The sequence below is a fragment of the Homo sapiens genome, chromosome 12 (assembly GCF_000001405.40).
Source record: "Homo sapiens chromosome 12, GRCh38.p14 Primary Assembly".
Lineage (NCBI taxonomy): Eukaryota > Metazoa > Chordata > Mammalia > Primates > Hominidae > Homo > Homo sapiens.
Window position 1 is genome coordinate 123,329,628 of NC_000012.12, and position 25,290 is coordinate 123,354,917.

Here is a 25,290-nt window from a genome sequence, read left to right on the forward strand (position 1 = left end):
TTTAGTTCTGAATTGTATACAGTCATTCAAGACACAGTACTTTATAGCTACAAATCCACCCAGTAAAACCCACCCTAACAAGCCACTGTTTAGGGCAACACTGAATTCAACTTAGGACTCACATGGGAAGTAGAGGTGCAGTTACTTATTTTCAAAGGGCTACTAGGGAGGCCCTTCCAGGAACCCTATCAGTCTATTTTAACCTTATAGCACCAACAATTGGTGCATGCATAGTAAGTCAATAAAGATTTGCTAACTGAACCTTAACATTCTAAAACACACTGGCACACATTGTCTTTCAGCTTACAGAATTGTTTTCATGTGAGCAGAGGTATGAGTAACTCAAGTCCATTAGCTGTACAAATACTGAAACCAGTCTGCCCAAGCCATAACTATCTACATCGCATATGATTTGGTGACCTATAGTGCAAGGTATGCCACCTGTCTAAACTGCACCCTTATGGCATATAAACTATAAAAGAAAGATAAAAATAACACTGAAAATTGAGAGAATCAACTGGTGTGCACTGTACACTTGAGAGCACATCTCAATTTGGACTGGTCACTTACACTGTTCAATAGCCACATGTGATGAGTGGCTACTGCCTGTCAGTGTTTAGCATATAGGAATCCACAAACCAACAATAGTGGCTAGCACTCACTATGCTTTCTGTGGAGTAACATCAAAGTTTTCCAAAAAGTGTCCCCTTATATACATAGCTATTATTATTGTCATCTCACAGATGAGTCAATATTTATTGAATGACCAACTGAATAAAAAGATTTCATACCTTATTTAACGAATGAACCAAAATGTTTTTTGCTCCAATATCCCTTAAATCTCTTTCAGCATCATACTTTAAGTCATTTGAAACACTAAACCTGCCAAAATATTAAAAAGCACAAATTAAATACAAATTATATCATTCTAGAATTCAGGAATAAAATTAATAAAGCCAGGTCTTGACACTTAAAAAAAAAAAAAAAAAGAAAAAGAAAATACACTTACTCATTAAAACACCATCCCACTGAGTGCAGTGGCTCACACCCATAATCCTAGCACTTTGGGAGCCTAAGGCAGGAGGACTGCTTGAGCCCAGGAGTTCGAGACCAGCCTGAGCAACACAAGAAGAGCCCGTATCTACAAAAAATTAGCCAAGCATGGTAGTGCATGCCTGTAGTCCCAGCTACTCAAGAGGCTGAGGCAGAACTGCTTGAGCCCCTGAGGTAGAGGCTGCAGTGAGCCATGAATATGCCACAGCACTCCAGCCTGGGTGACAAAGATCCTGTCTAGATGGGGAAGGCGGATCCCATCCCCACATGCTAAAGTAATTACTAACAAAACCTTCCATTGAGACGGAGTCGCACTCTGTCACCCAGGCTGGAGTGCAGAGGAACAATGTCGGCTCACTGCAAGCTATGCCTCCAGGGTTCACGCCATTCTCCTGCCTCAGCCTCCTGAGTAGCTGGGACTACAGGAACCCACCATGACGACCGGCTGATTTTTTGTACTTTTAGTAGAGACGGAGTTTCACTGTGTTAGCCAGGATGGTCTCGATCTCCTAACCTCGTGATCCGCTGCGCCTGGCCCACAGCCAGTTTTTAAACACTTACCACAATGCTCGTTTTCTACTCAACAAATAATTTTCATAGATGATTCCTGCTATCGTCCTTCCTTTTCCTACACCGGCACCATCACCTATTAAGAAGCCAGCACGATCTCCATTAGGTAGGAAAGTTTCATGTTGCTGAAAAACAAAAGGCTGGTAATTAATATAATCCTTCAGATATTTTGGTGATCAATCTTTCATACACTGTTTTAGGAGTAGGAATATGTTATGTTTTTTGTTTTGTATATGTATTTTGTGACTTTATTTTTACATAAATTTCATAGAGTTTTGGATTTTTTTTTGAGACGGAGTCTCGCTCTGTCGCCCAGGTTGGAGTGCAGTGGCGCGATCTTGGCTCACTGCAATCTCTGCCTCCCGGGTTCACACCATTCTCCTTCCTCAGCCTCCTGAGTAGGTGGGACTACAGGCGCCCGCCACCACGCCTGGCTAATTTTTTCTATTTTTAGTAGAAACGGGTTTCACCATGTTAGCCAGGATGATCTCGATCTCCTGACCTCGTGATCCGCCCGCCTCAGCCTCCCAAAGTGCTGGGATTACAGGTGTGAGGCACTGCACCCAGCCAAATTTTATAGTTTTGGCTTTAATGTGGATACTTTCTTTTTTTTCTTTTTTTGAAACGGGGTCTCGCTCTGTTGCCAGGCTGAAGTGCAGTGGCACAATCTCGGCTCACTGCAACCTCTGAATTCCTGTTCAAGCTATTCTCCTGCTTCAGCCTCCCGAGTAGCTGGGATTACAGGTATGCACCACCACGCCCAGCTAATTTTTTGTATTTTTAGTAGACAGGGTTTCACCACGTTGACCAGGATGGTCTCGATCTCCTGACCTCATGATGCACCCGCCTTGGCCTCCCAAAGTGCTGAGATTACAGGCACGAGTCACCGCGCCCAGCTCAATGTGAATACTTTCTACATATTTACTGTATATTATCTCCTGCTACTCTTCCATGCACCAGGTAATGAAAGTTAACAAATTAGTGAGGAGCCCGCCATACCCCTTATCAACACCTGCAGAATCAAACAGGTTTTTGTTTGTTTTTGTTTTGTTTTGTTTTTGAGACAGTTTTGCTCTTGTTGCCCAGGCTAGAGTGCAATGGCACAATCTCGGCTCACCGCAACCTCCGCCTCCTGAGTTCAAGTGATTCTCCTGCCTCAGCCTCCCGAGTAGCTAGGATTACAGGCATGTGCCACCACGCACAGCTAGTTTTTGTATTTTTAGTAGAGACAGGGTTTCACCATGTTGGCCAGGCTGGTCTCGAACTCCCAACCTCAGGTGATCCGCCAGCTTCAGCCTCCCAAAGTGCCCGGCCAGTGGTTTTTTAGTTTTTTTCAGACAGAGTCTCACTCTGTCGTCCAGGCTGGAGTGCAGTGGCACAATCTCAGCTCACTGCAACCTCCACCTCCTGGGTTCAAGTGATTCTCCTGACTTAGCTTCCCAAGTAGATGGCACTAGAGGTGTGTACCACCATGCCTGGCTAATTTTTGTATTTTTGGTAGAGACAGGGTTTCACCACGTTGGCCAGGCTGGTCTCTAACTCCTGACCTCAGGGTGACCCGCCTGCCTCAGCCTCCCAAAGTACTGGGATTGGGCCGGGCACGGTGGCTCACACCTGTAATCCCAGCACTTTGGGAGGCCGAGATGGGTGGATCATGAGGTCAGGAGATCGAGACCATCCTGGCTAACACGGTAAAACCCCATCTCCACTAAAAACAGAAAAAATTAGCCGGGCGTGGCGGTGGGTGCCTGTAGTCCCAGCTACTCGGGAGGCTGAGGCAGAAGAATGGCATGAACCTGGGAGGCGGAGGTTCCAGTGAGCCAAGATCGCACCATTGCACTCCAGCCTGGACGACACAGTGAGACTCCATCTCAAAAAAAAAAAAAAAGTGCTGGGATTACAGGCGTGAGCCACCATGCCCAGCCAAATTAAAAGTTTTATATCACACAAAATATGGAGGATAAATGGCTATTTTGGTCATTACTTATTTTACAGATATGGAATATGACTGAAATCATTTCAAGACAACTGCTTAACTCTACCTCACATCATTTTAAAAGCCCACACAACACCCCACTGTCCAATAATATCACAGTTTATGCAATTACCCCCCAATAATGTGGATGCTCAAATCTTTTCCAGCTGGAGGGACAAAAGGTACAACAAATATCATTCTGCATATGTTCTTATCTAACAGTTCCAGGGAACACACTCCTAGGAATGGGTATATATACACACACATATACATATATATAATTTTTTTTTTTTGAGACAGGGTCTCGTTCCCATCACCCAGGGTGGAGTGACAAGATCACAGCTTATTGCAGCCTCGACTTCCTGGGCTGAGGTGATTCCCCTACCTCAGCTTCCCGAGAAACTGGGACTACAGGTGCGTGCCACTACACTCAGCTAATTTTTTGTATTTTTCGTAGACATGATGTTTCACCATGTTACCCAGACTGGTCGCGAACTCCTGGGCTCAAGCAATCCACCCACCTCAGCCTCCCAAACTGTTGGGATTGCAGACATGAGCCACTGTGCCTGGTCGATATACATATTTTTAATTTTAATAAATATTCCCAGTAAATTCCAAGCAAGTTATAACATTTGCCATTTCCACTGGAAATGCACTATCTGTATCTCTGCTACACTTCTAAAATTTAATTTTCCAACACATTAAACTTTCATAAATATTACATTTACAAGGTTTTCATACAAGGAAAAGTTACCTTTAGATTGAAACAACTCTGTTATATAGAATAGGATAAAATAATTATTGTATTATGAAATATTATTGCTTACCTGGGCTGCATATGTAATTGCCTCAAGCTGCAATGCTGATAACCAGCCATTATCAATGGTTTCCTCAGAAATGGATGTTTTGTACCAAACATCAGGAGGAGTAACACTGGATAAAGAGCTGGTTTCCACTACAGCATCTGGATGACGTAGGCCAATTTTTACTAAACAAAAATGTAAAAACATTTTATTTTAATTATTCTAAGTAATAACATTTCCAGTTTCATTATAAGATATTTCAATGTTTTTCTTATAACATAGAAAAATAATTAAAAAGTATTCACTCTGAGCTTCCATAAAAAGTAACTGATGACAAAGTACTATCTATATTTGACTAAAATGATTTATCAACTACATATGGTTAAAACAGAGATTTGGGCCAGGTGGGTGGCTCACGCCTGTAATCCCAGCACTTTGGGGGGCCAAGGTGGAGGGATCACTTGAGGTCAGGCGTTCAAGACCAGCCTGGCCAACACAGCAAATCCCTGTCTCTACTAAAAATACAAAAATTAGCTGGGCATGTTGGCACGCGCCTGTAATTCCAGCTACTCAGGAGGCTGAGGAACGAGAATTGCTTGAACCCAGGAGACGGAGGTTGCAGGGAGCCGAGACTGTGCCACTGCACTCCAGCCTGAGTGATGCAGTGAGACTCTGTCTCAAAAAATAAATAAATAAAATTAAATAATAAATAAAATAAAATAGAGATTTGCTGATAAAAAAAAGATCTAAAAAAACACCACTTGGTTCATAACAGCAGGTTCTCTAGTAGTAACAGAACATAATGCCAGATTAAGGAGTTCAGTTACTTCAAGCATTCATTCAGTAAAACAAAAGTTTGCAATACAATTTTATTTTGAGGCTAGGCATGAAGGTTCATGCTTGTAATCTCAGCACTTTGGGAGGCCAAAGCAGGAGTATCATTTGAGGCCAAGAGTTCAAGACCAGCCTTGGCAATATAGTGAGACCCTCATCTCTACAATTAAAATCCAAAAATTAGCTGGGCATGGTGGTGGGACCTGTGGTCCGAGCTATTCAGGAGTCTGAGACAGGAGGATTGCTTGAGCCTTGTAGGCTAAGGCTGCAGTGAGCTAAGATTGCGCCACTGCCTGGCTGGGCATGGTGGCTCACGCCTGTAATCTCAGCAGCTGGGAGGCCAAGGTGGGTGGATCTCCTGAGGTCAGGCATTCGAGACCAGCCTGGCCAACACGGTGAAACCCCATCTCTACTAAAAATACAAAAATCAGCCAGGCATGATGGTGCACACCTGTAATCCTAGCTACTCAAGAGGCTGAAGCACGAGAATTGCTAGAATCCAGGAGGGATCCTGGGAGGTGGAGGTTGCAGTGAGGCAAGAGCATGCCACTGCACTCCAGACTGAGTAAAGAGCCAGACCCCGTCTTAAAAAGAACATATTTTACTTTGAAAAGTATTCGAAAGACAACTTGGCTATAAAATTTAACAACCAAGTCCCCAAAATGTACAACATGAATACATTAAAATAATGATCTGGAAGCTTTTTCTGTAAAGGGTCAGAGAATGATTTTGCCGTTTTAGGCCATCCTGTCTCTTGTACAACTACTTAACATTGCTGCTGTAGTGTCAACGCAGCCATAGATAATAAGTAAACCAATAAACATGTCTATGTTCCAATAAAACCTTATTTACTATAAAAAAGCGAGTGGTCCAGATTTAGTTTGCTGTCCTCTGGTTTAAAGGGCCATAAACTCTTTCAATCCTTTTGCAAAATGATTATTGGAATAAGAAAAACAGAATTTCAGATAGGACTTCTAAAATTCATTGTAGGTGAGCAGAAAAGGATGGAATCTTGAGTCTATCAGTAGTTGATAAAAAGAGAATTGTAGTTCAATTCAAATGGTATTATTAGTGGTTTTTTATAGAAACCAAGACTACATGAAAGACAAATTCTAGACATAGATTTGTTTCCTGTAATGAAAAAGTGAAAATTTTATGCAAATATTAAAAACCTAATTTTCGACTTCATACAGTGGCTGCTAAAAAAAGAACCATGTTATACAAAAGGGAGAAACAAAAACTATGGAATTCAAATAGCACAATTATTTTTATAATTTCAATGTTTTTACAATTTTAGACAAGTTGTATTAAATATCTTAGCTTTATATATCTTTACAATTACCTTTGATTTTTATAATCACTACTCCTATGAACAAAATTAAAATAAAATCCAAGCTTCTTTAGTTTTGGTTTTAAAAGACTTTGACCTAAAGCAAGATTCTAAATTTATATGGAAAAAAACAAAACAAAAAGAACCAAAGAAACCACAGGAAAACTTTGATGTAAATATCTGACAAATCCCGAAGACATACATTTTATTGGCATGTATTCTGCATAGGTTTCTGCATGACCCATTTCTTCTTCATCTTCTTCCTCTGGTTCATCATCTTCTTTTACAACAGGAACCTTCTGCAACACAGAAAGAGCACAATCAATCCCAAATCCAGGGACCAGACGCCCAGCCAACACACAGAAAAACTCTCTTGTAGGAACACCTACAAATTTCCATCATGGAAACATGACGCGCCACCTCAATACTCCCTAAAATCTGGGCCACACTTCGTGGCTTTCCTGCTTCTCCAATAATGAGCACAGACAATGAGGTCCTACTCTGTCTCTTACCCACAAATGGGTCACAAGACTCCACGTCCTTCCGGCCACCATCGTGTCAAGCTACTTTCCCCTTCAATACTGCCTATCACCCCTCCTTGATGCCCAGAACTCTCTCTGCACTCAGACTTCGCCTTCATTCTAGTTCCAGGAGAAAGAGCAAGCAGTGTGTCTGGCTCTTCCTAGTGCAAAACTGGAGTGAACCCTAGCAAAGGTGGATTGGCCCCAAAGGACCCTGCATCACCACAAGCAAGGCCTCTCAGTCTCACATTCCACCTTCTTCTCAGTTCACTTCTATTTGCCTGCTTTCCCGCATATCCTAAAACCAAAACCCCAGAAGACTGGAGTTTATTTTAGAGGCCCTTATGAAGAACAGAAAAATTTACTTCAGACTTCTGTGTCTCCACAGATGCAATCGTGATCATATATAAGATGGCCATATAATTTATTTTCCAAACCCTGGCACATTTGAGTTGGGGAGCTATTGAGGATTACACTGAGAAAACAGAAGTAAACCCAGACTGTCCTCGGCAAACCAAGTGAATGGTCACCACGGTTATGCTTCCCTTTTCTTCCTCTACAGGATCTTAAAGGAATAAAGGAAGATCCGGAATAAGCCACTTTTCACTACCAGTACAATCATTAGGCAACTGTTTATTAGCATGCACTTGTTCAGGGAAGAATATAAAGAAACTGTTGTGAAACTCAGTATGCCAAGGGAAGAGGACAACAAAAACCTACAGGTTAAGGCAAATTAAGGCAAGATCGAGACAGCATTAAAAGTGAAGGACAGGCTCTTTTTTCATTTACCTCAGAATCTAGAGCAGAATATGGTTGCAAATAGATAACAAACGTGAAAAGGAAAAGAAGTGGGACATAACCATCCAATCAACATTAACCTATGGAGTCTTTAGATAAAATCTAAAAACTTGGAATGTTCTCAGAAATTATGCTAAAATAAAACTCAATTTCGGAAATTCGAGACAAAACAGGACTGGCCAAATGAATAGATTTGAATCCCAATTCTGCTGTTATTTAATTGTGTAGTCTGTTTTTTAATTTAGGCAAATTACCTAAATTCTGGGTCCTCTCCACCCCCACCGTCTAACCCTGTCCTCGCTTATAAAATAAAAATGTATTCTATGTTAAGATAAGCAGCCTCCTTTCTCCCTCCATCCTTTATTCTCCTACCTATAGTTTTTTAAAATCATCATAAAATTGATGATAATTGAATAACTGAAGGATAAGTTGGTAATACTGAAGGACCACTATATCCAGGGAACAAACAAGTAATACCTTGAAGCCAGGTGCATGTGAGATAGCAACTGACATCAAATTTAGGTCAAAGAGATAACTCGGGTGAGGGAGACCACGGTACCTGGGAAATGTTTGCCCAACATACCATGTAGATGTTCACTACACAACGCTGGGCAAATCTTCCTAGATGGGGAACGTGGGCCTGGGGTTGTCAGGTACTCCCATTTTTCAAAATAACCGGGAAATCAGGATTTGTATATGTCAGCAAACAAATTCAAAATTCTTCAAAATACCATGAAGGCCAAACAAAATACATTTGTCAGCCAGGCATGGTGGCTCACGCCTGTAATCCCAGCACTTGGGCAAGCAGGGGTGGGCGGATCACCTGAGGTCAGGAGTTCAAGACCAGCCTGGCCAACATGGCAAAACCCCGTCTCTACTAAAAAATACAGGCCAGGCACAGTGGCTCACGCCTGAAATCCCAGCACTTTGGGAGGCCGAGGCGGGTGAATCACGAGGTCAGGAGTTCAAGACCAGCCTGGCCAAGGTAGTGAAACCCCATCTCTATTAAAAAATACAAAAGAAAATTAGCAGGGCGTAGTGGCGGGCGCCTGTAATCCCAGCTACTTGGGAGGCTGAGGAAGAGAATTGCTTGAGCCCGGGAAGGGGAGGTTGCAGTGAGCCAAGACTGCACCAATGCACTCCAGCCTGTGACAGAGCGAGACTCCATCTCAAAATAAATAAACAAAATAAAAGAAACAAAAATTATCTGGGTGTGGTGGTGGTGGTGGGGGGCGCCTGTAATCCCAGCTGCTCAGGAGGCTGAGGCAGAAGAATCACTTGAACCTGGGAGGCAGAAGTTGCAGTGAGCTGAGATTGCACCACTGCCCTCCAGCCTGGGTGACAGCAAGACACCGTCTAAACACACACACACACACACCCCGACACACACACACACACACGCCCCCCCCCCCCTCCCCGACTAGTTTGGTTGATGGGCTATCAGTTTGCAGTCTCTCTGAGATGTTACTTAACTGCTAAGCCAATAAAAAACTTTTGGTATATAATGGACTGAAATGGAAATGTGAGAACCACATAAAACATTTCTTGAAGAAATATGCATTCTTAGTTTCCAAAAATCACCTTCCAAGTGCTGTTGGTAGACAATCACTAAGTAAACTGGGTACCGCCAGTAGCACTATTGTTCTCCTGGTTCCCATTCAAAACCTCAGCTACAGTTTGCTGCACTGTCTCCAATTCCATATTCTAGAACCAAGTCCCAAAATTCTTTTGGTATCGTTATGTACAGTCATCTCTTTTTTTCCTTTCCCCTCTCCGTTTTTCAATCCCCTCTGCAAGGTCTCTAGTACCCCTTCTTACTTCCCCCTTAGGTTAACCAACTTTCCAACCTCTCTCTTTTGCCTACTCCTACTCATCCCGAATCTGTCTTCCCTACCCCTTTACTCAGTCTGCACCCCAACTTCTCCTGAATCACTAACAGGTCCCTCCATGTCTACTGGCTCAATGGTGCTAGACTAAGTCCAAAGTCCTTCAAACTCAATTCAGCACAGGGCACCTTGGCCTCCCAGCACTTTGGGAGGCCGAGCTGGAGGGATCACTTGAGGTCAGGTATTCGAGACCAGCCTGGCCAATGTGGTAAAACCCCGTCTCTACTAAAAACACAAAAATTAGCCAGGGCTGGTGGTGGGCACCTGTAATCCCACCTACTCAGGAAGCTGAGGCAGAAGAATCGCTCGAACCTGGGAGGCGGAGATTGCAGTGAGCCAAGATTGCACCACTACACTCCAGCCTGGTCAACAGAGCAAGACTCCATCTCAAAAACAACAACAACAATAAAAACCTCAATTCAGGACCCTCCATGGAGCCCAGACCTACTATTCCCACTTCTTTCTACAAGCTAAGCTTCCTGGCTTATTTTCACCGAAGCACATACTCACTACCTCCCCTCTGTGCCCATTAATCCTTTAGCTCCCTTCCTAATATCCCACCTCAAAGTCTCGTCATACTCAAAACCCAAGCTCCATTATTCCCTCTCCATAAAGTCCACCAGGCCACTAGAGTTCAGGAAGGTCACCTCTTCCTCCAAATTCCTAACCTTTATTGTGAGTAGCACATTGCATACCATTTGATGTACTTTTCATTATTACTACTTAATCCAGATGGTTGTCAAATTTTGCTTACTGAAGGTAGAATCATGTAATAAATATACTTCTTGTAGAAACCTACTACATATTAACAATGTTATACATGGAGAATTTATTAAATAAATGTATGGAATCAATTGATCCAAAGCATACAGCATTTTCAAAATGTTAAGAATTCTAACCAGGCCGGGTGCAGTGGCTCACGCCTGTAATCTCAGCACTTTCGGAGGCTGAGGCGGGCAGATTACCTGAGGTCAGGAGTTCGAGACCATCCTGGCCAACATGGTGAAACCCCATTTCTACTAAAAATACAAAAATTAGCCAAGCATGGTGGCACATGCCTGTAATCCCAGCTACTTGAGAGGCTGAGGTGGGAGAATCACTTGAACCTGGGAGGTGGAGGTTACAGTGAGCCAAGATAGCACCACTGCACTCCAGCCTGGGCGATAAGAGTAAGACTCTGTCTCAAAAAAAAAAAAAAAAAAAAAAAAGAATCACTCATAACCAGATCATTATATGATCTGTCAATGCATTATGAGCTTTCTATTCAAGTTCGGTCCTAAAATGAACACAGTTATCAAATACTTTTCGTTAACCCCACATTGTCTTTTTTTCTGCTCAGATGAGATTTTTAACAGTAAGATATCAGTACTGCATGTTAGTGCCACACTCCATCAATCTGCAAGTTTTAACCACCCTGGTTAGTATCTATATTACTCCAGCGAGGTTTAAGCATATCCATTAGTTCCCACGCCTGTATAGCTTCTTCCCAACCCAAAAACAGCTTTCTGAGGGTTGTTCCATATAGAACACTTTTAGTTGAGTACACTCTCATACTACACAAAAATAAAGACACAGTTATTTGAAACTCACCATGGTTGGGGAAAAACTCCTCATCTTCATGTCGTTTATCCACATTCTAGCTCCTTCTTTATTAGAAGACTCTTTCTTTACTGTACCATTGCTTACATCAGCTGAGGAGGAAAAAGTCAAATTACATTTAGAAGAAAATTCTGAACTTATTTTCCCATTATTTAAAAATCCAGAAGTTTAAGGCTGCTGCGGTGGCTCACACCTGTAATCCCAGCATTTTTGGGACACCAAGGCGGGTGAATTACAAGGTCAGGAGTTCAAGACCAGCCTGGCCAAGATTGTGAAACCGCATCTCTACTAAAAATACAGAAACAAGCTGGGCGTGGTGGCGGGCACCTGTAATCCCAGCTACTCGGGAGACTGAGGCAGAGAATTGCTTGAACCTGGGAGGTGGAGGTTGAAATGAGCCGAGATTGCACCACTGCACTTCAGCCTGGGTGACAGAACAAGACTTTGTCTAAAAAAATAAAAATAAAAAACCCAGAAGTTTACATATTTCAAAAACCAAAGAATGTCAATCTGCCTATAACTAATTTATTTTTATTTATTTATTTTTGGAGTTTCACTCTTGTTGCCCAGGATGGAGTGCGTTGGCGCAATCTCAGCTGACTGCAACCTCCTCCTCCCGAGTTCAAGCGATTCTCCTGCCTCAGACCCCCAAGTAGCTGGGATTACAGGAATGCGCCACCATGCCTGCCTAATTTTGTAATTTTTTTTTTAAGTAAAAACGGAGTTTCTCCATGTTGGTCAGGCTGGTCTTGAACTCCCAACCTCAGGTGATCTGCCCACTTTGGCATCCCAAAGTGCTGGGATTACAGGCGTGAGCCACCGCACCTGGCCTCTATTACTAATTTAAATTAAGCACAGGCATGAAAACATGTAAACCCATGTGTCTTTATGGAAGTAAAGAATTAACTTTAGAAAACAACTCAAAAGGAACGTGTGCAAGGGAAGCTTGAAAATTATTTATCAGAAAGATACCCAAAAGCCAGCATTACTTTGAGACACTTCATTTGACTCATTAAAAATAAACAAGGCCGGCGCAGTGGCTCACGCCTGTAATCCCAGCACTTTGGGAGGCCGAGGAGGCCCAGTCTCTACTAAAAATACAAAATTAGCCGGGCATGGTGGCGCATGCTCATAATCCCAGCTACTTGGGAGGCTGAGGCAGAGAACTGCTTGAACCCGGGAGGCGGAGGCTGCAGTGAGCTGAGATTGCATCATTGAACTCCAGCCTGGGCAACAAGAGTAAAACTCTGTCTCAAAAAAATTAATTAATTAATTAATTAAAATTTAAAAAAATACAAAAAAAAATTAGCTGGGCGTGGTGGCGGGCGCCTGTAGTCCCAGCTACTAGGGAGGCTGAGGCAGGAGAATGGCATGAAAACAGGAGGCAGAGCCTGCAATGAGCCGAGATCGCGCCACTGCACTCCAGCCTGGGCGACAGATCAAGACTCTCAAAAAAGAAAAAAAACAAAAAAACCCAAAACCTGGGGTTATCACCCAAACAGAATCAATTTCATGTGATCTGGTGGTACTTACTAATTTTCAAGGCAAAATAATTATTTCTAGAAGAAGAAAAATCAATTTGGGAACTCCTTACTTCCTCCTGCTCCCAGAGTAAAGATCTAAACAATGAACACTTTCTTCTATACCACTGGTTTTCAAACTCTTTTAAATATAGCAATAAAATCTCAGAATCCACTTATCAATCAGCAGAGCTACTTGACTGAATAGGGGTGGGAGGTATCCAGTCCAGAACCCCTGGAACCAGCCTTCAGCCTCCAAGAATCCCTGAAGTCCTCACAGTACCTGGAATTCTTGAGATAGAGGTGCGGAAATCACTGCCTTTAGGGAAGAGAGTGCTAACATCAGGAGAGCTGATCAGCATTTCATCTATTCTAGCAAAAGATGAAGAGTATTTGGGAGGACTATCACTTAGACTCCAAAACGAGTACAACTAATTAAAGTATTAACAGGCCAGGTGCTCACGCCTGTAATCCCAGAACTTTGGGAGGCCGAGGTGGGCTGATCACTTGAGGTCAGGAGTTCAAGATCAGCATGGCCAACATGGTGAAACCCTGTCTCTACTAAAAATAGCCAGGCTTGGTGGCTCATGCCTGTAATCCCAGCTATTTGGGAGGCTGAAGCAGGAGAATCACTTGAATTCAAGTGGCAGGGGTTGCAGGAAGCCGAGGTCGCGCCATTGCACTCCAGCCTGGGCGATGGAATGAGACTTCGTCTCACAAAAAAATAAAAAATAAAAATAAAGTATTAACTAAACAAGGAAACTAGAACAGAGATGATATTTGGGGGCATGGTTTGTTTATTTTAACTGTGAAAGAGCCAGTGATCAGCTCCTAGTTTTAAGACCAGAGAAATTGTGACAGGTTAGAACCCAAAGGGGCAACAACCACACAGATAAGAAGTAGAACATGCAACACCTTGCTTTCTGCAGTTTCATATTTTCAATGTTTTTCCCCTTCAGTAAAAAGAGGACCATCTCCTACAACAAAAAACTTTGCTTGTCTTCAGCATTCACTTACCATCTTTTTTTTTTTTTTTTTTTGAGATGGAGTCTTGCTCTGTCGCCCAGGCTGGAGTGCAGTGGCGCCATCTCAGCTGACTGCAACCTCTGCCTCCTGGGTTCAAGCAATTCCCTGCCTCAGCCTCCCAAGTAGCTGGAATTACAGGTGCCCATCATCATGCCCAGCTAATTTTCATATTTTTAGTAGAGGTGGAGTTTCACCATCTTGGCCAGGCTGGTCTTGAACTCCTGACCTCGTGATCCACCCACCTTGGGCTCCAAACGTGCTGGGATTACAGGCATGAGCCACCGCGTCCGGCCCATCTTTGTTTCTTAGTCCTGACCTAGCTTGACAGTTTCTCAGGCTTCCATACATGGATAGTCTTGCTGTGCAGCCTGATAAATGTCTGCATTTGTCTTTTAAAAATCACTACCTTAAATGTGGGAGAATTTACTGTACTAGATATCTTGTTCAGTCAGCTCCAAATCTATCCCGTTTTCTGTTGTGTTCTCTAAATTCTTCCCTCACAATGGCATACATCCACTCCTTTAAGTTATGATGGCATATGCTGATGTGAGGAGTACAATGCTCAGAAAGCCACTCATATAAGAAGCAGGCTTCCTCATTAAATCCAAAGACCGTAACGAGAAGCATCTTCCACCAACTGTCGACCATCCCCAAGTCCCTTGCGAGTGATTCCAGAAACTGCCCTGCACCTCAGCCAGGTCAGGGTCACAGTGCTGCACTCCACGGCAGAAAATGGTATCAGTCCTAAGACAGCTAAAATGATTTCCCAACTTGCATCTCACTGCCAGGTTGCAGTCAGTTCAGGACAATGACCTTGAGAGGAGAACCAAAAAACGAAAACCAAAAGACAAAAAACTACAGCCACAAGGACACAGTGGTATGGACCCAAACATAAAAACCAGATGATCTGAAAATTTTAATGACATCTGTCACTTAAGACAAAGTTCTACATCTTCCTATAAACACTTATCGCCCATTCTTTTAGAATGCTCTTAGCCCTCTATTTCATAAAAACACAAGCAGGCCGGGCATGGTACTCACGCCTGTAATCCCAACAACACTTTGGGAGGCTAAGGTGGGCAGACTGCCTGAGCTCAGGAGTTCGAGACCAGCCTGGCCAACACAGTGAAACCCCGTCTCTATTAAAAATACAAAAATTAGCTAGGTGTGGTGGCAAGCACCTCTAATTCCAGCTACTCGGGAGGCTGAGGCAGGAGAATCACTTGAATCCAGGAGACGGAAGCTGCAGTGAGCAGAGATCGCACCACTGCACTCCAGTCTGGGTGACAGACTGAAAATCCGTCTCAAAAAAAGAAAAAAGAAATGTAGAATTGTGGGCTCTACTGAGAATCAGATTCTGCTTTCAAACAAGATCCACAGATGAGTCACAAGTAAACAGCTATTTGTAAAGGATTTGTAAAGGATTAAGAAAAATGTTAACTGACTACCTATAATATATAAAACTGGTAAGATTTCATGTTGCTAACGTAGCTACCTGATGATCCTAGAAATCACATTTCAAAGCTAAACAACCTACCCAAGGCATCTAAACTTTTGCTTCCCTTGAATTGTGTTAAAGACTGTAAGTACGCAAAATAATGCATATAACACCCTTTTATGGCCAGTTCTTTAAAAACCCAAGCAAATCGTTTAAAAAAACATGCTGACATAGCTTACCAGAGAGAGAAAGTTGATACTATTGAAAACAGACTTACTAGCTGCTGTTGCTACTGGCTGAGCAATATTAGCAGGTGGCTTTAGTTTCATCAGTTCATTAAGACTATTATTTTTCAGTAGATCTTTAAGCTGAACTTGGTCTTTTGAAGGTGCAGAGGTCATGGCATTTCGTACTGTTGGTGCTGAGACTGACGGGCGTGTGCTTGCAGTAGTCTGGATAAACTTAGTTAAAGTGATGGTTTGCCTGTTGGTTGTTACAGGTGGTGTTTTAGTCATTACAATTGTAGATCCCAAGGGTGGAAGATGATTTATTTGATTCAGCACAAATGTTGTAGTAGATGGAGGCTGCTGCTAGATAGAAAACAAAAAACACACCACTGAAAAATGCTTCATTCTCTAATGAAGCTTATATCCACAAACCTGGAAGGACAACTAAAAATCTAAAATGCACTTTTATTATTGCTTTTTTTTTTTCTTTGAAGCAGTCTCATTCTGTCATGCAGGCTGAAGTGCGATCATAGCTCACTGCAGCCTTGCCCAACTGGGCTCAAGTGATTCTTGTACCTCAACCTCTGAAGTAGCTGGGACTACAGGTGCACACCACCATGCCCGGCAAATTTTTTTTAGAGATAAGAGTCTCCCTATGTTGCTCAGGTTGGTCTCAAACTCCTGGGCTCATGCCATTCTCCCACCTCAGCCTCCCAAAGTGCTGGGACTACAGGCGTGAGCCACTGTGCCCAGCCTTGCCTAAATATTAGTACTTCATTTCTGATTTGATTAGCTACAAATTACCAAGTTAAACGGACAACTTTGACGAAAAGAAGGTATAGTTGTAATATAACCCTTTCTATAACTGTCAGGGATGGCAAGCATAAAATGGAACTATCCCACACAAACCGAAAATAACAGGACTAAGCCAGGCACAGTGGTGTGCACCTGCATTTCCAGCTAATTGGGAGGGTGACACAGGAGGTTCACTTGATTTTAAGACCAGCCTTGGCAAAATAGCAAGACCCCTCCCACCCCAATCTCCCCAAAAGACTAGTAACAGAAAGTTTCTAATGCCTTGATTGATGACATTTTCACTTTTTTCCTCCTCAACACTATTTGCTATTTCTCCACTACTCCTTTAATAATGAGTCTTTAATAAAGAGTCTACTATTGGCCGGGCGCGGTGGCTCACACTTGTAATCCCAGCACTTTGGGAGGCTGAGGCGGGCGGATCACGAGGTCAGGAGATCGAGACCATCCTGGCTAACACGGTGAAACCCCGTCTCTACTAAAAATACAAAAAATTAGCCGGGCGTGGTGGCGGATGCCTATAGTCCCAGCTACTCGGGAGGCTGAGGCAGGAGAATGGCCTGAACACAGGAGGCGGAGGTTGCAGTGCGCCGAGATCGCGCCACTGCACTCCAACCTGGGCGACAGAGCGAGACTCCATCTCAAAAAATAAAAAATAAAAGAATAAAAATAATAAAGTCTACTATTTACAACTTTTTTCAATATTTTGACTTGTCATCAATGACCGTGTTATATATCTTCACGTACAAATCTGTTTTTAAAAATATCTTTGTGGGGCTGGGAGCGGTGGCTCACATCTGTAATCCCAGCACTTTGGGACGCTGAGATGGGCACATTACCTGAGGTCAGGAGCTCAAGACTAGCATGGCCAACATGGTAAAACCCTGTCTCTACTAAAGATACAAAAATTAGCCAGGCATGGTGGTGGGCGCCTATAGTCCCAGCTGCTTGGAAGGTTAAGGCAGAAGAATTGCTTGAACCCAGGAGGCAGAGGTTGCAGCGAGCCGAGATGGTGCCACTGCACTCCAGCCTGGGCGACAAAGCGAGTCTCCGTCTCAAAAAAAAAAAAAAAGAAACAAGAATGAAAGAAATGTGTCGCAAAGTAGGAGGTAAGGGTAGGATATTGGGAAAGCGGCAAAAAGCAGAACTAGAGAGAGAAAACTATTTCACACTAAAAAGTTTTTTATTTTTTATTAATTATGCTTTTTTGTTGTTGTTGTTGTTGAGACAGAGTCTCGCTCTGTCACCCAGGCTGGAGTGCAGCGGTCCCATCTCGGCTCACTGCAAGTTCTACCTCCCGGGTACATGCCATTCTCCTGCCTCAGCCTCCCGAGTAGCTGGGACTACAGGCGCCCGCCACCACACCCGGCTAATTTTTTGTATTTTTAGTAGAGACGGGGTTTCACCATGTTAACCAGGATGGTCTCGATCTCCTGACCTCGTGATCCACCCTCCCTGGCCTCCAAAAGTGTTGGGATTACAGGCGTGAGCCACTGTGCCTGGCCTCTTTTTTTATGTTTTTTGAGATGAAGTCTCACTCTGTCGCCCAGGCTGGAGTGCAGTGGCTTGGTCTCTGCTCACTGCAACCTCCTCCACTTCCTGGGTTCAAGAGATTCTCCTGCCTCAGCCTCCCAAGTAGCTATGACTATAGGCGTGCACCACCACACCAAGCTAATTTTTGTATTTTTAGTAGAGATAGAGATGGAGTTTCACCATGTTGGCCAGGCTGGTCTTGAACTCCTGACCTCAAGTGATCCACCCACCTTGGCCTCCCAAAGTGCCAGGATTACAGGCATGAGCCACTGTGCCCAGCCCATTTCTTCTTTTATAGAGATGGGGTCCTGCCATTTTGCTCAAGCTGGTCTTGAATTCCTCGGCTCAAGCAATCCTCCTACCTCAGCCTCTCAAAGTGCTGAGACTACAGGTGCGAATCACCACACCCGGCCATGTTTTCTCACTACACTTCTAAACTATTTTAGAAGTAACGACGAATCTAAATCATTCTTACCCTCACATTTAATAGTGCTGGAGTAGGTACAGTCTCTGGTTCTTGTTTAACAGGAACTGCTGCTTCGGTCTCCAAACCTAGTTCTAATGCACTAAGTGGCACTGACTGGAGAGAAAACAACATCAGACAAAAAATAAAAGGACAGCAGTAAATTCTGTTTCAAGGACAAGGTTTGCATTTATTAAAAAATATCAAGTTTAACATTCAAACTGACGTTAAATCACTAACAGCAGATTTATAATGTAATAATCTTTGCAAGCACAAGATCTCCACAAAACGGTACTAACAATTCCTTTTTTAAAACATTTTTGTAGGCCGGGAGTGGTGGCTCATGCCTGTAATCCCAGCACTTTGGGAGGCCGAGGTGGGCGGATCATGAGGTCAGGAGTTTGAGACCAGCCTGTCCAACATGGTGAAACCCCATCTCTACTAAAACACAAAAAATTAGCTGGGCTTGGCCAGGCGCAGTGGCTCACGCCTGTAATCCCAGCACTTTGGGAGGCCAAGGCAGGAGGATCACAAGGTCAGGAGATCGAGACCATCCTGGCTAATGTGGTGAAACCCTGTCTCTACTAAAAATACAAAAAATTCACCGAGTGTGGTGGTGGGCGCCTGTAGTCCCAGCTACTTGGGAAGCTGAGGCAGGAGAATGGCGTGAACCTGGGAGGCGGAGGTTGCAGTGAGTGGAGATTGCACCACTGCACTCTGGACTGGGTGACAGAGCGAGACTCGGTCTCAAAAAAAACAAATAAATAAAACAAATAACTAAATAAATAAAAACATTAGCTGGGCTTGGCGGCGGCCCCCTGTAATCCCAGCTACTCGGGAGGCTGAGGTGGGAGAACTGCTTGAACCTGAGAGGTGGAGGTTGCAGTGAGCCAAGATCGTGCCACTGCACTCCAGCCTGGGTGACAGAGTGAGACTCTGTCTCAAGAAAAAAAAATTTTTTTTAGTCTTTTTTTTTTTTTTTTTAAGGCTAGTCAGGTGAAGCAGTCGGAGTAGAGGAGAAACAAAGAAATCTGTAACTGGCTGTGATCAATTACCTGTAAACAACACTGCACTCGGACCAGTCTATTTTTTTATTTTTCAGAAACAAGGTCTTGCTCTGTCACCCAGGCTAAAGTGCAGTGGCACGATAACAATTCACAACAGCCTCAAACTCCTGAGCTCAAGCGATCCTCCCACCTCAGCCTCCTGGGTAGCTGGGACATCAAGTGCACACAACCACGGCCACCTAATTTTATTTAACTTTTTGTAGAGACAAGGTCTTGCTACGTTGCCCAGGCTGGTCTCAAACTCCTGGGCTCAAGCAATCCTTCAGCCTCAGCCTCCCTAAGTGCTGGGATTACTGGCATGAGACACTATGCCCAGCCAGAATCTTACGTTTTTGCTTTCAGAGAATGTATATAATGAAATCACAGAAGAATATCCCTAAATAATTAAACAACTATTAAGGAAATTAAAGATACTCCCACAAGAACACTAAACATCTCTTACACTATCTATACGTTTATAATAACATCAAAGCAGAAAATAATGTTTTGGTTTTCATTATTATTTTCTGCCTCATAAATCAAAATGAATACTCAACATAAAAATAACATTTGGCCGGGCACAGTGGCTCACGCCTATAACCCCAGCACTTTGGGAGGCTGAGGCAGGCAGATCACAAGGTCAGGAGTTCGAGACCAGCCTGAACAACATGGTGAAACCCCATCTCTACTAAAAATATAAAAATTAGCCAGGCGTCGTGGCCCATGCCTGTAATCCCAACTACTCAGGAGGCTGAGGCAAGAGAATTGTGAACCCAGGAGGCAGAGGTTGCAGTGAGCTGAGATTGCGCCACTGCACTCCAGCCTGGGTGACAGAGCAAGACTCCGTCTCAGAAAAAAAAAAAAATTAACACATGTATTTAAAATTAAGGCTTCACATGTATATTTAAAATTGGGCCAAGCTTGGCTCGCACCTGTAATCCCAACACTCTGGGAGGCCGAGGTTGGCAATCGCTTGAGCTCAGGAGTTCAAGACCAGCCTGGGCAACATGGCAAACCCTGTCTCTACAAAAAAGACAAAAAATTAGCGGGATGTGGTGGCACGTGCCTATAGTCCCAGCTACTTGGGGGGCTGAGGCAGAAGGATGGTTTGAGCCTGGGAGGTTGAGGCTTCAGTAAGCCATGACTGCACCACTGCACCCCAGCCTGGGCCACAGAGTGAGACTATCTTAAAAAAAAATACTGTAAGCGGAAATCACTAAGAAAGAGAGGCTTTGGAAAACTCTTACCTGCTGAACTGACGGGGTAGGCATTGGAGTTGCAAGCCCTGCATCTCCACCATCAATATCAAAGAGGTCATTCGGACTAATTCCACTCTCACTCAAAGCAGCAAGCAGTAAATCTTGCCCTGGCTCCACCATCTTTAAAGGGAAATATTAAATATTAACATAAAAAACAAAAAGTGACAAATATTAACTCCCCTCTAAATATAAACAATCCAACAATCTCTATTAGACCCATTCATTCAGTATTAATGAAGAACCTGCCATGTCTCAGACAAAGAGGATAAAAGAGAAATAGTCTTGGATCCCAAGCTCACTCTAAAATAGAAAGGATAGAGAAGTACATAAATCATAGCACAAGTATGCATCTACAAAAGGCTACGGGAACAGAGAAGGAAATAATGAACTTTGTGGAAGCAGAGATGTTATAAAGATGACAATGCAGCAGAGCATCAGGGAATCATCAGGTGGACAAGGATCCTCTCGACTATGCATTCAAAACATAGAGGTATGAAAGAATTTGACACACTTTAAAAACTATGGCTGGAGGCCAGATGCCTGTAATCCCAGCACGCCAGGAAGCAAAGCCAGGTGGATCACCTAAGTTCAGAAGTTTGAGACCAGCCCGGCCAAAATGGTGAAACCTTGCCTCTACTAAAAATACAAAAATTAGCCACATGTGGTGGCGGGTGCCTGTAATCCCAGCTTCTCTGGAGGCTGAGGCAGGAAAAACCACTTGAACCAAGAGGTGGAGGTTGCAGTGAGCCAAGATTGTGCCACTGCACTCCAGCCTGGGTGACAGAGCGAGACTCCATCTCAAAAAAAAAAAAAAAGAAAAAGAAAACCTCTGGAGTTAATTCAACAAGGGTATGGAAGCTCAGAACAGAAGTATGGGGCTCAGGCAGGAAACGGCAAGAGGTGAAGGTATCACCTACAGCCCTGTACACCATGCTGGAGAGTTCACTTGCTCTTGTGGGAAACAGGGATTACTAACAAGTTTTCCGATTGAGGACTACCTGACACGGCAGATTTGTGATTTAGAAAGATTACAAGTCTGGGCACTGTGGCTCAAGTCTGTAATCCCAGCACCAAAGTGGAGGTGCAAGAGGTTAGCTTGAGGCCAGCAGTTCAAGACCTGCCTAGAGACCCCGTATCTACAAAAAAATTTTTTTAATTAGCCAAGTGTGGTGGTGCACGCCTGTAGTCCCAGCTACTTGGGAGGATGGCTTAAGCCCAGGAGTTGGAGACTGCAGGGAGCTGTGATTGCACAACTGCACTCCAGCCTGGGTTACAGAGTAAGACCCCCAACTCAACTCAGTAAAGATAGAAAAAAATAGAAGGATTACTCAACAGCAATGTGGAAACAAACTAAGAGGGAGCAGAAGACCAGGAGCAGAATGACATCTTGGGAAACTGACATAGCTGACCAGGAGAGAGATGTATTATAACTGCATGGGGCAGAGAGAAAGAAGGGGAAATGGAATCCAAGATACTTAGGGAGCTAAATCCATCACATTTAGCTTAAATACAAACTCAGAATGGAAGCGAGAATATGAAGCACGTCAGAGAAAAAGTATGAGCTGATGAATGGTTAGAGTCAGGCCAAGAGAAAATAAAAAATAAACACCGAGCCCAGAAGACCTAAAGGATGAGTTCTATGGAGTTTGCCGGGGTGGGGGGCTAAAGCCAATTTAAAGCAAGTAGACAGATTTTAGTTTGGAAGTTTTTCCAACTATAATCTCAGGGGCCAAACTATTCTGCTGCCATGGATTTTTACCCATTTTATAGGGGGGAAAAAGAGCTTTCTAAATTTTAACTTTTCTCATTAATTTCCCTGAAATAACCAATTTACATATACAAACATACTTATGAAAAATCTGTACTCTTCTCAGAAAACTAATTTCATGTTACATAAATATACTAATTTTCAGCTAGTCCATTTGTTCTCAGACTGTGATAAAATTAAGTGTCAGTGTTTCATGATGTCCTACAAAAATGGCATTAGCCAAGAGTACGATCAGCATGACTACGCAGTTTCGCTCTTGTTGCCCAAGGTGGAGTACAATGGCGCGGTCTCGGCTCACTGCAACCACTGCCTCCCGGGCTGATGCTCCTGCCTCACCCTCCCAAGTAGCGCCCACCAACACACCTGGTTAATTTTTGTATTTAGTAGAGACAGGGTTTCACAATGTTGGCCAGGCTGGTCTCGAACTCCTGACCTCAGGTGAACCACCCACCTTGGCCTCCCAAAGTGCTGGGATTACAGGCCGTGAGCCACTGTGCCCGGCCTGAGCATGACTTCTAGCATGTAAGAACTGTTTCAGATGAAAGCATTTAACAAAGAAATCCTCTACTGCGTCTATGTCACCTACGTTTGTGTATCATTTAGACAGATGTTCTAATGGAAACATGAGTGAGTCTAAGGTGAAAACCAGATACCCAGAATGAAAGAGGGCAGACCACTGTGTAGAAGAGTGGGAGGAAAAACAGACACCCCAAAGGAGATTTTTTGGAGACGGAGTCTAGCTCTGTCACCCAGGCTGGAGTGCAGTGGCGCGATCTCGGCTCACCGCAACCTCCGCCTTCCAGGTTCAAGAAATTCTCCTGCCTCAGCCTCCCGAGTAGCTGGGACTACAGCCGCCCGCCACCATGCCCAGCTAATTTTTTGTATTTTAGTAGAGATGGGGTTTCACCGTATTGCCCAGGCTGGTCTCAAACTCCTGGGCTCAGGCAATCCGTCCGCCTCGGCTTCCCAAAGTGCTAGGATTAGAGGCGTGCACCACCGCGCCCAGCCTCCCAAAGGAGATTTCTCCATAATTTTCCAGAAAAAGGAAAAGCAACCTGAGGAAGAAAACCATTTTGGGCAGGGAGTGAGGAAGGAAGGAAACAAGCCTAGCACCGTGTTAAATTCTTCATAAACATTACCATACTCAAGCCCAAAACAACCCTGAGTGAGATAGGTAATATAATTTAAGAGCTGAAACTGAGGGTCAGAAAACTTAAATCATCTACCGAAGTTCACTCACGCAGGAAGTGGTAGAAGATTAGAAACTAGATAGTTCAAACTCCCAAAATCCACGAAGTTTTCTTTCCAATGAGTAGATAAAGTTGATGTTGGTAAACTACGATGTTTCATTATTTTATTTCAAAATAAACGCCAGATTGAGATTAAAATTGGAGGGGGAATAAAGTATTAGACAGCAAGATATAAATAACATGAAGGAAATGAATGACAGAGTTAACAGGAGAAATGTCCCAATATAGATTTCAAATAAAGTTGTTTGCCTGATGACTTTTGATTCAAAAAAAAGACCAAGTTAACTAATTTTTCTAATATAGACACATTTGACCATACTTTTACAAATTATCCTACTGCATAATACGAACAAGTACCTAGAGCTCTAAATCAATGCTTTTAACATTTTCAATCCATAAAATACTTCGTTAAGACTAAAATAGGGTCTTGGCCCACTGGCTACAGATAATCTTGACCCAGATTAATAGAACTCTGGAGACTATCAAAATGTCATCTCTTTAAAATAAATACTGGAAATGATTTATTTACATTTGAAACAGAAGTACATTGTTTTAATCCAGTGACTTCCAAAACTACAGACCACAGAGCCCCTGCAGGCCACAGGATCCATCAGTCCATGAGCTATACACCAAGCCCTATCTAATAATATTCAAAAGTGTAGAGATGCCATTAATCAATGAAATGCATATTCACTGCAAACTATTATTCAGTTCATGAGAGCTTTCTGAAATGTTTTCCTAACAATGAGCATTTAAGTACAAAAAAATTTTACTGAGAAACTTTTTGATGTTCATGTAAGAAAGAGAGCAACGGTTATAAATAACATTATCGGTGACCAGCTTAGAACTCACTCATAGGAATCACAATTTGACTTAGCCATTCCACAATGTATACTTGTATATACCAAAACATGTTATACACCATATGGACAATTTTTACTGTTCAATTAAAATAAGTAACAATTTAAGACCCTCTAATCTGATGAATGACCTGGGAATAACAACGTCTGTAAAAGACACTGTCTTTTACAAGCTACTAATGAAAGAGATTTTAATCCTAATATATATCTTATACATAAATGGAATACTAGGGATCATTTCTCAGCCAAACGGGCACAAATTCTCTATTTGTTCTTTTTTTGCAGGGTGAAGGAGGGAAAGGGGACAGAGAGAGAACATCTATCCCATTCTCTAACTCCATTAGGCAAAACCCTTAGTATGTAATTATATTTCTATTCAGAAACTATTATAGACTCACAGAATTTTGGTGCTCAAACTGAGAGAGCCCTTAAAAACTTGTATTAGCCAATCTCCTCCTCATTTTACAAATAAGACCTGTTCATAGGAGGAAAAACATTTTCACTTTTAAGTCACAAAGCACCATATAAATGCTAAATACTGTTAGGTACAAGAGAACTGTGTTAGTGTGTCTACAAAGGAATTCATAGACCTCAGATGACATTTACCATGGAGCAGTCTGACAAACCCAAGTTACTAACCACGGAAGGTCTCTCTCTCAAACAATGGACAAAAAAAAGAGTTCAATTTTTATCATAAATACATTTGAAAGCTGGGTGC

General features: G+C 43.0%; 1 protein-coding gene across 2 annotated transcripts in view, besides 2 other annotated features; it reads right to left on the reverse strand.

The window, feature by feature from the left end:
• The window catches only part of SBNO1 (strawberry notch homolog 1), a 75,739-nt gene that overhangs the window by 40,519 nt on the left and 9,930 nt on the right, over positions 1-25,290 (reverse strand). The window contains exons 2-9 of one of the 2 annotated variants that reach the window (NM_018183.5): positions 20,683-20,814; positions 18,402-18,506; positions 15,631-15,940; positions 11,361-11,461; positions 6,768-6,864; positions 4,426-4,586; positions 1,615-1,748; positions 792-882 (exon numbers count right to left, since the gene is read on the reverse strand). In NM_018183.5, coding sequence (NP_060653.3) covers positions 792-882; positions 1,615-1,748; positions 4,426-4,586; positions 6,768-6,864; positions 11,361-11,461; positions 15,631-15,940; positions 18,402-18,506; positions 20,683-20,814 — 1,131 coding nt within the window. Of the gene's footprint in view, positions 1-791; positions 883-1,614; positions 1,749-4,425; positions 4,587-6,767; positions 6,865-11,360; positions 11,462-15,630; positions 15,944-18,401; positions 18,507-20,682; positions 20,815-25,290 lie in introns of both variants that reach the window. The other variant, NM_001167856.3, reaches the window with a different exon arrangement.
• Positions 5,688-5,737: a silencer, noted in NCBI's record as "silent region_5036". NCBI's record gives its function as "represses an Ori minimal core promoter by ATAC-STARR-seq in GM12878 lymphoblastoid cells {active_cell/tissue: GM12878}" and the evidence as "EXISTENCE:reporter gene assay evidence [ECO:0000049][PMID:35858748]".
• Positions 11,541-11,764: a silencer, noted in NCBI's record as "fragment chr12:123825715-123825938 (GRCh37/hg19 assembly coordinates)". NCBI's record gives its function as "represses an EF-1alpha promoter that drives an FKBP-Casp9 reporter gene in an ReSE screen in K562 erythroleukemia cells {active_cell/tissue: K562}" and the evidence as "EXISTENCE:reporter gene assay evidence [ECO:0000049][PMID:32094911]".